At 41.6% G+C, this 17,848-nt stretch overlaps 3 annotated features.

The window, feature by feature from the left end:
* Window positions 1,072–1,718: an enhancer, noted in NCBI's record as "OCT4-NANOG hESC enhancer chr21:18491880-18492526 (GRCh37/hg19 assembly coordinates)". NCBI's record gives its function as "activates a minimal SCP1, AML or CMV promoter by ChIP-STARR-seq in naive H9 embryonic stem cells {active_cell/tissue: H9 hESC(naive)}" and the evidence as "EXISTENCE:reporter gene assay evidence [ECO:0000049][PMID:30033119]".
* Window positions 2,849–3,592: an enhancer, noted in NCBI's record as "NANOG hESC enhancer chr21:18493657-18494400 (GRCh37/hg19 assembly coordinates)". NCBI's record gives its function as "activates a minimal SCP1, AML or CMV promoter by ChIP-STARR-seq in naive H9 embryonic stem cells {active_cell/tissue: H9 hESC(naive)}" and the evidence as "EXISTENCE:reporter gene assay evidence [ECO:0000049][PMID:30033119]".
* Window positions 8,730–9,277: an enhancer, noted in NCBI's record as "NANOG hESC enhancer chr21:18499538-18500085 (GRCh37/hg19 assembly coordinates)". NCBI's record gives its function as "activates a minimal SCP1, AML or CMV promoter by ChIP-STARR-seq in primed H9 embryonic stem cells {active_cell/tissue: H9 hESC(primed)}" and the evidence as "EXISTENCE:reporter gene assay evidence [ECO:0000049][PMID:30033119]".

Raw genomic sequence — 17,848 nt, forward strand, 5'->3', positions numbered from 1 at the left:
AAATACGTGCTATACTAGAGAGTGATAAGTTCAAAGGTTCCTGAATCTGGTCTGGTGAAACAGAACACTCACACCACAAGTCAAGCAAACCAACTTTAATATTCCCAGATAGGTAGCAAAGACAAACAGAAGCCAGGATGCATGGTAAGCCAGTCCCTCAAGGGTCAGGAAAACCTGCCCAGGACAAATGGAGTCTCCTCTGTAAATGCCCTTTATCACACCACAGCTGAGCAACCTTGAAAGCACTATGCTCTGGGTTTTGTACCCTGGGCATTTCTTGGCTCACTGACCCAAGCATTGCAGAATATCCTGTTCTGGGAAGAGGAAGACATAGCTCAAGTTGTTCCAGACATTTTCTCTTTATCTCAGGATATTGCATTCTCAGTACATTCTGCCTAGTAATTGCCAATAAGAGGGAGATAAGCTGGCTTGGCCACGGTCATTTGGGACCTGTCTTTCAAGAGCAAAAGTTTACAAATATAAAGTAGGAAAAGGGAATAAGAAGAATTGGGAAGAAGGTTTGACATTTTAGATAGTAAGATCAGGAAAGACCTTTCTAAAAGGTGACATTTTAGCAATGATCAGAAGGAAGAAATTGACTTATCTAAGGAAACATAATTGCAGGCTTATGGGAGGAGCGAAGTAAGTGCAAAGGCCCAGAGGCGTAAGTGTGACTGGTGTACTAAAGAAAAAGCAAGAATACCACAGTGGAAAGGGTGGAGCAAGACGAACAGAGGGTGGCAAGAGATGAGGTCAGAGATGAAACTGAGGGCCAACCCATAGTAAGCGCATTTTGGCTTTTATTCTACGTGAGATGAGAGACAAATTTTAAACAATGGAGAGATTCTATCTGTATTTAACAGAATAACTCCAGCTGCTTTGTTGTGACTAAACTGTAAAAGGGGTGAATGCAAAATTAGGGAGACCATGAAGTACTATTGCAATAATCCAGCAAAGTGCTGATGGTGGCATGAGGAGCATGGTATTGTGGGAGTGGCAAGAAGCGAAAGGGTTCTAGATGTATTTTTGAGGGTGCGCTGACAATATTTAATAAAAATCTGGATTGTGGGGGGCGAGAAAAAATGAGAGTTAAAGAATGACTACAAGATTTCCGACATGAAGAACAGATGATTCAATGAAGTAGAAAGCATTGCAAAATAGGCTTAGCAGGGAATTATCTGGATCTCTGATTTGAATTTGTTAACTTTTAGAGGTCTATTAATTATCCTAGTGGAGATAGATAGAAGTCTGGAGTCTGGGAGAGAGGGTTGAGCTGAACCTAATTTGGGGAAGATAAGGAGGAGCCAGCAACAAAGACAGAGAGCAGCCATTCAGGTAGGAGGAGAATAGGTGAATGTGGCCATTGAAATTCAAGTCAGTAAAGTGTTTCAGGAGAAGAGAGTAATCAACATGTCAAATGCTACAGTTATGTCAAAACAAATGAGGAGCACGCACTTTACAAGGATTTAGCAAAGTGAACTGATGGATTCCTGACTCTGGATAGGCTAGTGAAAGGCTGATTGGTGAGGAGTCAAGAGAGACCACTAGGGAGAAATTGGGTACAGAAAATGTAGACAACTGTTCCCAGCAGTTTTGCTATAAAAAGAAAAAAAATGGAATAGTAGTAGGATGAGAGAGTACACTCAAGAGAAATAGTAGCATGTTCGTACGCTGATAAGATATTTCCCATCTCAGCCAATGGTAACCCCATCCTTCCAGTTGCTCTGGCCCAATTCTCAAAGCTATCGTTGATTCCTTTTTTTTTTTTCTGAGACTACGCAGAAACAATGGAAAATTTTGATAGCTGTACTTTCAATATCCAGAAATAAAGAGAATTGAAAGAATTAGAAGACTCCCCATCTCTAATGAGTCTAAGAAATAATCATCAATGGCTGCTCAAAACCAAAGAGACTATAAGAATCACGTGCCTTCCAATAAGTATCCAACACCACCTCTGAAGAAAATCAAACCTGGATACAATCAAGCCACTAGATATAACCACAAAGGCTCATAAATTATACGAGACAGAAGAACTTATGTGACCCAACAGGCACACAGTTAACATTATTCAGGGTGCGGCAAACTCCAGAGGACAAAGTGACCTAGTCTTCAGAAAATAAACTATAAGAGAAAAACAGAGAGAGAAGAGAGAGAGAAAGACAGCAAGCAAACCTAAAGGTTAAAAGACATAAAGGACATGGCAATATGCTTCTCCACAAAATGTGTGAATACTGTCTGAATAATGATTTAAACAAACCAATTTAAAAATTACAAGACATTTGGGGAAATTTGCACACTGAATGGATGTTTGATTATATTAAAGACACAATATTTTAGGTGTGACAATTCTGCTGTGGTTACACTTATTTATTTATTTGTTTGTTTATGTATTTATTTATCTATTTATTTTGAGACAGGGTCTCACTCTGTCACCCAGGCTGGCGTACAGTGGTGTGATCATGACTCACTGCAGCCTCAACTTCGTGGGCCAAGATAATCCTCCTGTCTCAGCCTTCCGAGCAGCTGGTTTTGCCATGTTGCCCGGGCTGGTCTCAGATTCCTGGGCTCAAGCAATCCTCCCGCCTCGGCTTCTCAAATTCCTGGGATTACAGGTGTGACCCACCACACCACGCCTGTGGTTACATTTTTAAATTGCTTTTATCTTTTATACTAAAATAATTACACAGTGAATAATATTATACCTGGTGATAGTTTCAAAACAATTCAATAGAGGGACGTAGAGGGGACAACTACAAATGCAAATGGATTAGCCATGAGTGGACCTTTGCAGGTAGATGGTTCGAATTCATGCTACTGTTCTCTCTCTCCACTTTTGTTTATGTCTCATGTTTCATCTAACAAGAAGCTTTTTTAACTCTATTAAAATTTGCTGTCATAATAACTAAAAAAGAGCAAAGAAAACAAATTGTTACAAAGGTGGCAAGAGAGGTGTCAGGCCTCTGAGCCCAAGCTAAGCCATCGCATCCCAGGTGACTTGCAGGTATATATGCCCAGATGGCCTGAAGTAACTGAAGAATCACAAAAGAAGTGAAAATGCCCTGCCCCACCTTAACTGATGATATGCCACCACAAAAGAAGTGAAAATGGCTGGTCCTTGCCTTAAGTGATGACATTACCTTGTAAAAGTCCTTTTCCTGGCTCATCCTGGCTCAAAAAGCTCCCCTACTGAGCACCTTCCAACCCCCACTCCTGCCCATCAGAGAACAACCCCCTGTTGACTGTAATTTTCCTTTACCTACCCAAATCCTATAAAATGGCCCCACCCCTATCTCCCTTCGCTGACTCTCTTTTTGGACTCAGCCTGCCTGCACCCAGGTGATTAAAAGCTTTATTGCTCACACAAAGCCTGTTTGGTGGTCTCTTCACATGGACGCACATGAAATTTGGTGCCGTGACTCAGATCGGGGGACCTCCCTTGGGAGATCAATCCCCTGTCCTCCTGCTCTTTGCTCCATGAAAAAGATCCACCTATGACCACGGGTCCTCAGACCCACCAGCCCAAGGAACATCTCACCAATTTTAAATCGGGTAAGCGGCCTCTTCTTACTCTCTTCTCCAACCTCTCTCACTATCCTTCAACCACTTTCTCCTTTCAATCTTGGTGCCACCCTTCAATCTCTCCCTTCTCTTAATTTCAATTCCTTTCATTTTCTGGTAGAGACAAAGGAGACACATTTTATCTGTGGACCCAAAACTCTGGCACCAGTCACAGACTCAAGAAGGCAGCCTTCCCTTGGTGTTTAATCATTGCAGGGATGCCTCTCTGATTATTCACCCCCATTTCAGAGGTGTCCGACCACGCAGGGATGCCTGCCTTGGTCCTTTACCCTTAGCGGCAAGTACCGCTTTTCTGGGGGCAAGAACCCCCCAACCCCTTCTCTCTGTGTCTCTACCCTTTCTCTGCTTTTCTAGGGGCAAGAACCCCCTGATCCCTTATTTCTGTGCCCCAGGATCTTATCTCTGCACCCTGATCCCTTATTTCCATGCCCCGACCTCTTATCTCTGTGCCCCGATCCCTTATTTCCATGGTCCAACCTCTTATCTCTGCACCCCTACCCCTTATTTCTGCACCCTGACCTCTTATCTCTGTACCCCAACCCCTTATTTCCATGCCCCAACCCCTTTCCCGCTTTTCTGGAGGGTAAGAACTCCCAAACCCCTTCCCTCCATGTCTCTAGTCTCTCTTTTCTCTGGGCTTGCCTCCTTCACTATGGGCAACCTTCCACCCTCCATTCCTCCTTCTTCTCCCTTAGCCTGTGTTCTCAAGAACTTAAAACCTCTTCAACTCACACCTGACCTAAAACCTAAATGCCTTATCTTCTTCTGCAATGCTGCTTGACCCCAATATAAACTCAACAGTGGTTCCAAATAGCCAGAAAATGGCACTTTCCATTTATCCATCCTACAAGATCTAAATAACAATTGTCATAAAATGGGCAAACGGTCTGAGGTGCCTGATGTCCAGGCATTCTTTTATACTTTGTTGCCTCCCTAGTCTCTGTTCCCAATGTGACTCATCCCAGATCCTCCTTCTTTCCCTCCCACCTGTCCCCTCAGTCCCAACCCCAAGCGTTGCTGAGTCTTTCTAATCTTCCTTTTCTACAGACCCATCTGACCTCTCCCCTCATCGCCAGGCCGAGCCAGGTCCCAATTCTTCCTTAGCCTCTGCTCCCCAACCCTACAATCCTTTTATCACCTCGCCTCCTCACACCTGGTCCAGCTTACAGTTTCATTCAGCGACTAGCCTTCCCCCACCAGCCCAGCAATTTCCTCTTAAAAAGGTGGCTGGAGCTAAAGGCATAGTCAAGGTTAATGCTCCTTTTTCTTTATCTGACCTCTCCCAAAATCAGTTCGCGTTTAGGATCTTTTTCATCAAATATAAAAACCCAGCCCAGTTCATAATTCGTTTGGCCGCAACCCTGAGACGCTTTACAGCCCCAGACCCTGAAAGGTCAGAAGGCTGTCTTATTCTCAATATGCATTTTATTTTATTACCCAGTCTGCTCCTGACATGAAATAAAGCTCCAAAAATTAAATTCTGGCCCTCAGACCCCACAACAGGACTTAATTAACCTCACGTTCAAGGTGTACAATAATAGAGTAGAGGCAGCCAAGTAGCAATGTATTTCTGAGTTGCAATTCCTTGCCTCCACTGTGAGACAAACCCCAGCCACAACTCCAGCACACAAGAACTCCAAACACCTGAACCGCAGCTGCCAGGGGTTCCTCCAGAACCTCCTCCCCCAGGAGCTTGCTACAAGGGCTGGAAATCTGGCCACTGGGCCAAGGAATGCCCACAGCCTGGGATTCCTCCTAAGCCATGTCCCATCTGTGTGGGATGCCACTGAAAATAGGACTGTTCAACTCACCTGGCAGCCACTTCCAGAGCCCCTGGAACTCTGGCCCAAGGCTCCCTGACTGACTCCTTCCCTGATCTTCTCAGCTTAGCAGCTGAAGACTGACACTGCCTGATTGCCTCAGAAGCCTACAGGACCATCACAGATGCCCTAGATAACTCTCACAGTGGAGGGTAAGTCCATCCCCTTCTTAGTCAATACGGAGGCTACCCACTCCACATTACCTTCTTTTCAAGGGCCTGTTTCCCTTGCCTCCATAACTGTTGTGGGTATTGACAGCCAGGCTTCTAAACCTCTTAAAACTCCCCAACTCTGGTGCCAACTTAGAAAACATTCGTTTATGCACTCTTTTTTAGTTATCCCCACCTGCCCAGTTCCCTTATTAGGCCAAGACATTTTAACTAAGTTATCTGCTTCCCTGACTATTCCTGGACTACAGCTGCATCTCATTGCCACCCTTCTTCCCAAACCAAAGCCTCCTTTCCGTCTTCCTCTCATTTCCCCCCACCTTAACCCACAAGTATGGGACATGTCTACTCCTTCCCTGGCAACTGATCACATGCCCCTTACCATCCCATTAAAACCTAATCACCCTTACCCCACTCAATGCCAATATCCCATCCCACAGCAAGCTTTAAAAGGATTAAAGCCTGTTATCACTCGCCTGCTACAGCATGGGCTTCTAAAACCTATAAACTCCCCTTACAATTCCCCCATTTCACCTGTCCTAAAACCAGACGTGGCTTACAGGTTAGTTCAAGATCTGCGCCTTATCAACAAAATTGTTTTGCCTATCCACCCCGTGGTGCCAAACCCATATACTCTCCTATTCTCAATACATCCCTCCACAATCCATTATTCTGTTCTAGATCTCAAACATGCTTTCTTTACTATTCCTTTGCACCCTTCATCCCAGCCTCTCTTCACTTTCTCTTGGACCGACCCTGACACCCATCAGGCTCAGCAAATGACCTGGGCTGTACTGATGCAAGTCTTCACAGATGGCCCCTATTATTTCAGTCAAGCCCAAATTTCTTCCTCATCTGTTACCTCTCTTGACATCATAAAAACACATGTGCTCTCCCTGCTGACCATGTCCGGCTAATCTCCCAAACCCCAATCCCTTCTAAAACACAACAACTCCTTTCCTTCCTAGGCATGGTTAGTGTGGTCAGAATTCTTACACAAGAGCCGGGACCACACCCTGTAGCCTTTCTGCCCAAACAACTTGACCTTACTCTTTTAGCCTAGCCCTCATGTCTGCGTGCAGTGGCTGCCACTGCTTTAATACTTTTAGAGGCCCTAAAAATCACAAACTATGCTCAACTCACTCTCTACAGTTCTCATAACTTCCAAAATCTATTCTCTTCCTCACACCTGATGCATATACTTTCTGCTCCCCGGCTCCTTCAGCCGTACTCACTCTTTGTTGAGTCTCCCACAATTACCATTGTTCCTGGCTCAGACTTCAATCTGGCCTCCCACATTATTCCGGATACCACACCTGACCCTCATGACTGTATGTCTCTGATCCACCTGATGTTCACCCCATTTCCCCACATTTCCTTCTTCCCTGTTTCTCACCCTGATCACACTTGGTTTATTGATGGCAGTTCCACCAGGCCTAATCGCCACTCACCAGCAAAGGCAGGCTATGCAATAGTATCTTCCACATCTGTTATTGAGGCTACCACTCTGCCCCCCTCCACTACCTCTTAGCAAGCCAAACTAGTTGCCTTAACTCAGGCCCTTACTCACTGTTGCAAAAGGACAATGCGTCAATATTTATACTGACTCTAAATATGCCTTTCATATCCTGCACCACCATGCTATTATATAGGCTGAAAGAGGTTTCCTCACTAGCAAGGGTCCTCCATCATTAATGCCTCTTTAATAAAAACTCTGCTCAAGGCCGCTTTACTTCCAAAGGAAGCTGAAGTCATTCACTGCAAAGGCCATCAAAAGGGGTTAGATCCCATTGCTCTAGGCAATGCTTATGCTGATAAGGTGGCTAGACAAGCAGCTAGCTTTCCACCTTCTGTCCCTCATGGCCAGTTTTTCTCCTTCACATCAGTCACTCCCACCTACTCTCCCGCTGAAACTTCCACCTATCAATCTCTTCCCACACAAGGCAAATGGTTCTTAGACCAAGGAAAATATCTCCTTCCAGCCCCACAGGCCCATTCTATTCTGTCGTCATTTCATAACCTCTTCCATGTAGGTTACAAGCCGCTAACCCTTCTTGTAGAACCTCTCATTTCCTTTCCATCCTGGAAATCTATCCTCAAGGAAATCACTTCTCAGTGTTCCATTTGCTATTCTACTACCCCTCAGGGATTGTTCAGGCCCCCTCTCTTTCCTACACATCAAGCTTGAGGATTTGCCCCTGCCCAAGACTGGCAAATTGACTTTACTCACATGCCCCAAGTCAGAAAACTAAAATATCTCTTAGCCTAGGTAGACACTTTCACTGGATAGGTAGAGGCCTTTCCTACAGGGTCTGAGAAGGCCACTGCGGTCATTTCTTCCCTTCTGTCAGACATAATTCCTCGGTTTGGCCTTCCCACCTCTATACAGTCCGATAGCAGACCAGCCTTTATTAGTCAAATCAGCCAAGCATTTTTTCAGGCTCTTAGTATTCAGTGAAACCTTTATATCCCTTACAGTCCTCAGTCTTCAGGAAAAGTAGAACAGACTAATAGTCTTTTAAAAACACCTCACCAAGCTCAGCCACCAACTTAAAAAGGACTAGACAATACTTTTACCACTTGCCCTTCTCAGAATTCAGGCCTGTCCTCAGAATGCTACAAGGTACAGACCATTTGAGCTCCCGTAGAGACGCTCCTTTATATTAGGCCCCGGTCTCATTCCAGACACCGGACCAACTTGGACTGTGCCCCAAAAAACTTGTCATCCCTACTATCTTCTGTCTACTCATACTCCTATTCACCATTCTCAACTACTCATACATGCCCTGCTCTTGTTTACACTGCTGATTTACACTGTTTCTCCAAGCCATCACAGCTGATATCTCCTGGTGCTATCCCCAAACCGCCACTCTTAACTCTTAAAGTAAATAAATAATCTTTGCTGGCAGGACTATGCTGAATCCCCTTAGGCACTCTCTAATTAGATGTCCTAGGTCCTCCCAATTCTTAGACCTTTAATACCTGTTTTTCTCCTTCTCTTATTCCGTTTAGTTTTTCAATTCATACAAAACCACATCCAGACCATCACCAATAATTCTAAATGACAAATGTTTCTTCTAACAATCCCACAATGTCACCCCTTACCACAAAATCTTCCTTCAGCTTCATCTCTCGCACTCTAGGTTCCCACGCCGCCCCTAATCCCGCTTGAAGCAACCCTGAGAGACATCACCCATTCTCTCTCTCCATACCACCCCCAAAAATTTTCACCACCCCAACACTTCAACACTATTTTGTTTTATTTTTCTTATTAATATAAGAAGGCAGGAATGTCAGGCCTCTGAGCCCAAGCTAAGCCATCGCAGCCCCTGTGACTTGCAGGTATATATGCCCAGATGGCCTGAAGTAACTGAAGAATCACAAAAGAAGTGAAAATGCCCTGCCCCGCCTTAACTGATGACATTCCACCACAAAAGAAGTGAAAATGGCCAGTCCTTGCCTTAAGTGATGACATTACCTTGTAAAAATCCTTTTCCTGGCTCATCCTGGCTCAAAAAGCTCCCCTACTAAGCACCTTGCAACCCCCACTCCTGCCCACCAGAGAACAATCCCCCTTTGACTGTAATTTTCCTTTACCTACCCAAATCCTATAAAGTGGCCCCACCCCTGTCTCCCTTCGCTAACTCTCTTTTTGGACTCAGCTTTGCTGATCTCAACTAATAAAAGTGTTTTTGTTGACATTTTTCTAACAGAAAAACAATGCATTCTGAGAAACAGAATAATAACGTGGAACAACTGCTTCTTCCTGCCAAAACTTTATTTGAAGTTTGTTAAAAAAAAAAAAGTTAAGACAAACAATTATAATGACTTTTCATTAGCAAAAAGCTCTACTTTAAAAATAAAACTCTAGGACAACTTTTTTCAGATTCAGCATACAGGTGAAATTCAATTTATAACTCTCTGAAAACCTGTTGGAGCACTTTCCTGTTTCTTTTCTCATTTTATATCACATTCTGTGCTATTTTTAAAGAAACTCAATGTGCCAAGTGGAAAATGTTTTTACATGCTATGAAAGATAAAAAGTGCTTTTTCCCCCAAGGATGTTTTACACATTAACCTGTTTTCCTTTGCTTTCTATTTTTCACATGCCCCTTGCTCATATGTTTTGACTGGTTTTGCTCCAATGAAGGCAAAGCCACGCCCATCAGGAACTTCAAAGTCATTGAAACTCACCAAAGACCAACTCCTATGATCAGCCCGTGGACAATACCGGTTATTTTCAAACCAGTCCTTAGTCACCAGGATTCTTGACAAGCTCCTGCAAAGCAGACACAGGTTTGTCTTGGTGGAAGCTGCTGACTGTCATCCCCTCAGTTTGAAACTCGAGGTCCTGCTTTGGTGTGGAAGCAGAGCTTTTCTTGGCAGGTGAAAGATTGCTTAGCAAAGGAAACGGTGTCAAATGGAATATGTCAGAACCTATCTCAGAACAAGGTCACCCTGACCCTAAATGAATTCCACAAAAACTCATTGGAGACACTGTTTTGCAAATCTGGACTTCAACCAAAAAGAAAGAAAAGTGGACCACAGTAACCAAAGCTTTCCTCATCCTTCAGGTTGAGGTCTGGAAAACAGAATCAAAGCCTCCCTTCAATTCCTCCTCACCACCTGCCTTACCCAGATGTACATTTTAAATTTAATCATAAATCACATAAAACAGAGTAACACAGATGAATTCAAATGAGGTGGATTGCATGCATGGAAGGCCAGTGCAGTATAGTTTACCAATGATTACAAGTATACTTTCTGCTTAATGTACATCACAACCATGTTAAGTGAGTTACTACTAACCACATTTCATGGGTGATGAAATGAGATATGCCATTTTGGGGGCCTGCCTGTGATAGGCCACACAGAAAATAAAGAGGAAAATGCATCCTTGGGCTAGGCTCTTTCCGATCTTTCTCTCAACATTCTTTCGATGGCAGCAGCTCAGAGACAATGAGGACCTATCAATCTGCCTTTCTCCAATTCTCCTACCCCAGTCACCTAATGTTACCTAAACCCAAAAAGGAAATATATACAACTTCAAACTCTTCTCTAAACACTAATTCTCCTGGTCGAAGCTTCAGCAAGGATGCCTTCCACCTCTCAAGGGCACCCCACCGACTGATTCCTCTGTGTCCTGAAGATCCCTATTGTGGCTAGTGGATAATAACGCTCAGGAATGTACTTCTACCCCATGAACCAGAACACTGTAAAACTGTTGTTCACATTTATCCAATAAAATCCAGACAATACATCTGGTTCTTTTTATATTTTTAATAGTGGAAATGTGTTTGTGATTTAAAAACTTAGTTTCTGTCAAAAGAAGTATAATACATAGTATTCAACAGTTTCAGGATCTCTTGTCAAAAGAGATAATTGCAGAACTTTAACAGACTAACATGGTACTATATAGAAAAATGACCTCTAAAATATAACACATGGTTTTAGCTTCTAGGGATGATATCTGAAAGTTAATCCGACATTTATAACCAACTGACCAGGATGTTCAAAAACTCATGGCCCTAAGGCGTCTAGGAGACAATTAAGAAGAATGGACATTACTCACAATGGGAACAATTCCCAGCTTTGCAGAGGAACACAGATTTGGGGGGCTTTGCAGCCGTCCCTCATAATGGGAACAATTCATATTTTCTTCCCTTAGAGAATTAAGACTGATGTTTTCCATAATGAATAGTTTATAAAGATAATACAAAGGAACTTTGTGGGTCGGCCGCGGTGGCTCACGGCCTGTAAGGAGGCTGAGGCAGGAGAATCACTTGAACCCGGGAAGTGAAGGTTGCAGTGAGCCAAGATGGTGCCATTGCACTCCATCAAGAGCGAAACTCCATTTCAAAAAAAAAAAAAAAAACGAGGGAACTTTGCGAAAGTGTGGTTAGAAAACTAGAGTTGGATAGTTAGGCTTATTTTAAGAAGTTTAAATATTATTTAGAAGAGAAAAAGAAACTACTTCTTATCCCTGACTCATCCACTCTTTCTCATTTTCATGTTTTTGCCTGACGTTGTTGCTCATCAATTTTGACTTAAGAAAATTCTAGCAACATTTATAGATTTTGCCAAAATTCAGCTTCTTCCCAAATCAATCTATAAGAAGGCTCTTCCTTAAACATAATTTTTATATCTATGAACTGCACTAGCATTTACTATATATTTTTATCACTCTCACCATTACTGGATAATAAATAAAAGCTCATTAAAAGAGTTAACAAAACATATTTATTTTAGGCATCCTGAAAAAAAGATTCAATTTTATTATCATTTCTACAATAAGTATTGAAGAAAGGAGAATTTAAATTACTTCATATACCTGATAAAGGAAAACATATGCAAGGCAAATAAACATCTTAGATCATGACATATAAAATAATAGATTATTACTAAAGATTAAAATACTTTCTTAAGAATTAAAGCAATTCTAAAAGCAATAGTAAATAACATTCTTTCTAGTGATCAGACACTGGATACTATGTTTGAGATAGACAGTGAATTGGGAATGTTGTTTTACAGAAGCTCCTACCTTGCAAGGACAGGCAAGTTTAAATGTCAGCTAGAAAACTATCTTGAGTTTTCAGTAATGTAAGATTTTCCTATTCAATTTCACACTTTAAATTTTATATATATATATAAAAGTCATGATTCTATTGAAAAAATTTCTAAATTGGTACATTTAACTTTATATTCTATTATTATAAAATACAAACAGATTATTAAGCACAGCTGCACAAAGTCGTCATTTCAAAAGAGTTTTAAGAACTGGATAAGCAAATAAGTGTAACCTTAGTCATGTTAGGAATAAGAGAATTCAGTGGAACAATAGTGTGTGAGTTTCCTTTCAATTTTTTCATCCTCACAATGGAGAATCAGCTGGGGAGCCAGATTTACGAATAATATTTATTCCACTTGTGTTACATAGAGTGTTCTTATGTTAAGAAAGTTGTCAGGATTTTAATTAACATTGCGAAAATTTATTTACATAAATATGCAAAGAAATCACACTAATATTGAAGAGCCACAAAACAATAAAAAATTATTAAAGAAAGACAATCTCAGAGCACTAGCGACCTGTCCTTAGTGTGTTCCATACAAATTTGTTGTATTGCCTGTAAGCCATTTATCTCTTCCTTATCAATTCTTTCCTTTCTTTCCACAAAATTATCCCTAGCTAGTTCACAGGATTGTTATAAACATCAAATGAAATGATGAATATTCATGTACTTCATAAGTTATAAAATGCTTATCCAATATGAAACAGTGTTTTTATTGTGTGTGTTGAATAAGAAAGGAAAGTTTGAGGTTTCCAGCTAATTGTCTTTCAAATTTGAAACACGTGTCATAGTAATTATCCTTTTGTATCTCTTTTTTTAGAATTCTTGAGTGATGGGTGCTACAGATCTGAAAATCATTATGCTGGAATATTTCCACTCCTCCCAACCACAAATATGTGTCTATCAAGAGAGGCTGTATGTTGCTGTGAATCCCAAATGGTATTAATTGAATTAGAGGTTCTAAAATATCATTGTGAACATTTAAAAAGTTCTGCCATTTCTAATTGGTTCATGGTTGTGTAACAAAAATTGTGAATGTATTTTGAAGCAACTCAGAATGATAAAATGAGATTTTACTCAAACCCTTCATATAATTTCACCTTGATTCTAGAATCATTGGGTGAGTTACATCAAGTATTTCAATAAGCAATAAAAAAGTTAGAATGGGGGGAAAGGACCAGATGGCCAACTAGATGCAGCTAGGAAATACCTCTCCCATTGAAAGAAAGCAGAATATGAAGTAAACCATCATATTTTGAACAGATCTTTTGAGAGAAAATACTGAACATCAATAAAGGGGGGATGCAGAAACTGAGGTTGAAGACAGAGAAAGCTGGGAAGCCTACACTGAGTCACCGAGTGTCAGACTGGCTCCTGGTCCTGAACAAGTCCTAAGGAAGGGTTAAGTGAAGGAAGTCCAGGGCACCACACTCCCATCATGGACCTCTGGGATCCTAGCTACAAAAGATCCCATGACTCCATAGACATTTGAATTGGCAGGGGAAACTGCCTGGAAAGTAAGAAGAAGAAGAGCTCAAAACTGTGTGGAGCTCAGAAGGTGTTATAGCGCATGGTACAGCTGCAGCAAAACATCACCCAGGCATTCATCCCCCAAGGCTCCCCATCTGGATCCAAGTGACTATAACAACTGCTGACTGTCAGGCCAGGAGAGAGCAGGATTGTCTTTCCTCTGGGACCGGAAAGCATCTGATCCCTGTGCTGCCCCTTGTCTGCCAGCCCCTTCCAAGGCCACGGGTCCGGCCACTCCCACAAGAGAGTGAACACAGAACAGCCTCCACTTCCCATCTGAGTGTTTTGCTGGCAACCTGGGATTAGTTCAGCACCCCAAGTACAACTGGTGCTTGACCCTGAGGGGCCAGAGGAAAAAGCTGTGGCCCAATTCCCAAACCCCTAGGTTTGAGTATACCACCCACAGGTATTGAGCTGAGATCTGTGGCTAGAGCTTGAGCAGGGGAGGAGCCTCTACTCTCAGAACACAGAAAACAGTGAGGCACAGGTTTATGTTCAGGCATGGGAGCTGAGCATCCCTCCCTCAGCAAGACTGGTGCAGGAAGTGTGTAGCCTGTTGGGCAGCCACAGCTTTTGCCCAAGGCAGCCCCATGGCATGGAACACCTGGAATAGCCCAGTGATCTGGGTGAAGAAGGCTTCAGACAAATCTAGCTGTTCAGGCCTACTCCTGGGGCAGACAGCAGAGGGAAACTGGGTCAGGGGAACACAAGCTGGGGAGGCCCCAAGGCCACCTGCTGGTTAAAAATCCCAGGCCATGCGCACCACACCAGCTGCACACCTGTGGCATCACAGTCTTGCCAGCGGATCCTTCACCTTTGACCAACTGCATCACCAGATCACCCACAGACATATCCTACAACCTTCTCTGACTGCCCAGCTTAGACCAGTGGGTCTCTGGGGAGCTACAGATCTCTTAGTGACCTAATCTTCAGTTCAGGCCACCCCTAAGGGAGGAGGGAGTGCAACCTGCCAGGGTCCCCCCTTGAGGCTGAGGAAACACAGGCATGGTGCCACTGATTGCAGAGGGCTCCCCTAAGGCCCAAGAATGACCTTGGTGAAACGGTCATTTCTTGCCCCTCTATCTCTCCTTCCCCAGAAGACTGCTCTATATGCACTGAAATACAAAACAGGTGTATGGCAGAGCCTATCTGCTAGACCTTACTCTTAAGCACCATCTATTGTATCATAACCTGAATTACACCACCAAATAAAAACAAATTCCTTCACTTTGCAATGCCTATGAAACCCAGTGCAGGAAACTAACCACAATTAAGGAACTCATGCAGAGCCTTGGCACTCTGAAAGCACAAAGAACATCCAGAAATGAAGCCAACTAATGGTACACGACATATACCACAGTCAAACTCTCAAGGGAAAAAAGAATATAAAAACAAAAAAACCCATCCAAACAATAGCAATTTAAAAGTAACAGGAAGCACCAGCCCCTCAGATGAGAAGAAATCAGTGCAAGAATTCTAGCAATTCAGAAGGTCAGAGTGTTTCCTTACCGCTAAAGGATTGCACTAGGTCCCTAGCAATGGATCCTAAGCAGATTGAGAGGTCTGAAATGACAGAAATATAATTTAGAACCTGGATGGCAAGGAAGCTCAGTGAGATTCCAGAGAAAGTTGAAATTCAGTTTAAGGAAACCAATGAAATAATCCAGGAGTTAAAAGGTAACACAGCCTTTTTATGAAAGAACCAAACTGAACTTCTGGAATTGAAAAATTCACTACAAGAATTTAAAAATATAACTGGAGACCTTAACACCAGGCTAGACCAAAGAAACAATTTGAGAGCTCAAAAACTGGTTATTCAAATCAACCTAGACAAAAATCAAGAAAAGTGAATTTAAAAATAAAATCTTCAAGAAATATGAGATTATGTAAACAGAGAAAAACCTACGAGTCAGTGGCATTCCTGAGAGAGAAGGAGGGAGAGTAAGCAACTTGGAAAACATATTTTAGGATATAATTCATAAAAATTCCCCTAATCTCACCAGAGGGGTCAACATGCAAAGTCAAGAAATTCAGGGAACCCTTGAAAGATACTTACAAGATGACTATCCCCAAGACACATAGTCATCAGACTCTCTAGGGTGAACATGAAAGAAAAAAATCTTGAAGGTAACTAGAGAAAAGTCAGGTCACTTACAAAGAAAACCCTATCAGGCTAACATCAGACTTCTCAGCTGAAATTTTACAAGCCTGAAGAGATTGGGGGCCTATTTTAAGCACTTTTTAAATGAAATTCTAATCAATTTTATATTCTTCCAAACTAAGCTTCATAAGCAAAGGAGAAATAAAATCTTCCAGACAAGCAGTCACTAAGGGAATCTATTACTGCTAGACCGGCCTTACAAGAGATTCTAAGGGAGTTCTAAACATGAAAACAAAAGAACACCTGCTACCACAAAATTACATTTAAGTAATATAGCCCACCAATTATATAAAGAAACTACACAATTGAGATTACAAAGCAACCAGCTAACAACATCATGACAGGATGAAAACCTCACATATCAATATTAACCTTGAATGCAAATGATCTCAACACCCCACTTAAAAGGCACAGAGTGGCAAGTTAGATTTTTAAAAAACCAAGACCTGAGCTGGGCATGGTGGCTTATGCCTGTAAACCCATCACTTTGGGAAGCAGAGGTGGGCAGATCACGAGGTCAGGAGTTCGGGACTAGCCTGGCCAACATGGTAAAACCCCATCTCTACTAAAAATACAAAAATTAGCTGGGCATGGTGGTGGGCACCTGTAATCCCAGCTACTTGGGAGGCTGAGGCAAGGGAATCATTTGAACCCAGGAGGTGGAGGTTGCAGTGAGCAGAGATCGCGTCATTGCACTCCAGCCTGGGTGACAGGGTGAGACTCTGTCAAAATAAAAAAGAAAAGAAAAAAAGAAAAGAAAAGACCAAGACCCAACAATCTGCAGTCTTCAAGATATCCTTCTCACATACAAGGATACCCATAGGCAAAAAAACATCAAGAAATGGAGAAAGATCTATCATGCAAACAGAAAACAAAAACAACAAGGGCCAAGCATCACTATTCTTATATCAGATAAAACAGAATTTAAACAAAAAAAGAAAGAAAAAAAAAAAGAACAAAGATAGGCATTACATCACATAAAGGGTTCAATTCAACAAGTCTTAATTATCCTAAGTATATAAATACCCAACATTGGAGCACCCAGATTCATAAACAAGTACTTAAAGACCTACAAAAAAATTAGACAACCCCACAATAATAGCTGGGGGGCTTCTACACCCCATTAGCAGCGTTAGATCATCAAGGCAGAAAACTCACAAAGAAATTCTGGACTTAAATTCAACACTTGGCCAATTGGACCTAATAGACATCTGCAGAACACTACACCCAACAACCACAGAATATACATTCTTCCCATTGACACACAGAACACACTCTAAAATAGAATACATGCTTGGCCATAAAACAAGTCTCAGTAAATTCAAAAAAATCAAAATTATATCAAGCACATTCTTGGAACACAGTGGAATAAAAATAGAAATCAATACCAGGAAGACACCTCAAAATCACACAATCACATGGAAATTAAACAGCTTGCTCATAAATGACTTTTGGATAAACAACAAATTTAAGGCAGAAATCAAAAAAATTATTGGAAATTAATGAAAACAGAAATGCAACATATCAAAATCTCCGGGATGTAACAAAAGCAGTGTTAAGAGGAAAGTTTATAGCAATAAATATCTAGATCAAGAAGTTAGAAAGATCTCAAATTAACAATCTAAATCACATCTAGAGGAACTAGGAAAACGAGAACAAACTAACTCCAAAGCTAGCATAAGAAAAGAAATAATTAAAATCAGAGCAGAACTGAACAAAATTGAGACCCAAAAATCCATACAAAGCATCAATGAAAACAAAACTTGATTCCTTGAAAGGATAAAGAAGATTGATTGATAGACCACTAGATAGATTTAAAAAGAAAAAAAGAGAGAAGATCAAAATAAGTATAATCAGAAATGACAAAGATTACATCACAACCGATCCCGCAGAATTACAAAAGTGCCTTAGAAACTACTATGAATACTTCTATGCACACAAATTAGAAAATCTACAGGAAATGGATAAACTTCTGGACACACACAATCTTCCAAGATTGAATCAGGAAGAAGTTGAAATCCT

The sequence above is a fragment of the Homo sapiens genome, chromosome 21 (assembly GCF_000001405.40).
Source record: "Homo sapiens chromosome 21, GRCh38.p14 Primary Assembly".
Classification (NCBI taxonomy): domain Eukaryota; kingdom Metazoa; phylum Chordata; class Mammalia; order Primates; family Hominidae; genus Homo; species Homo sapiens.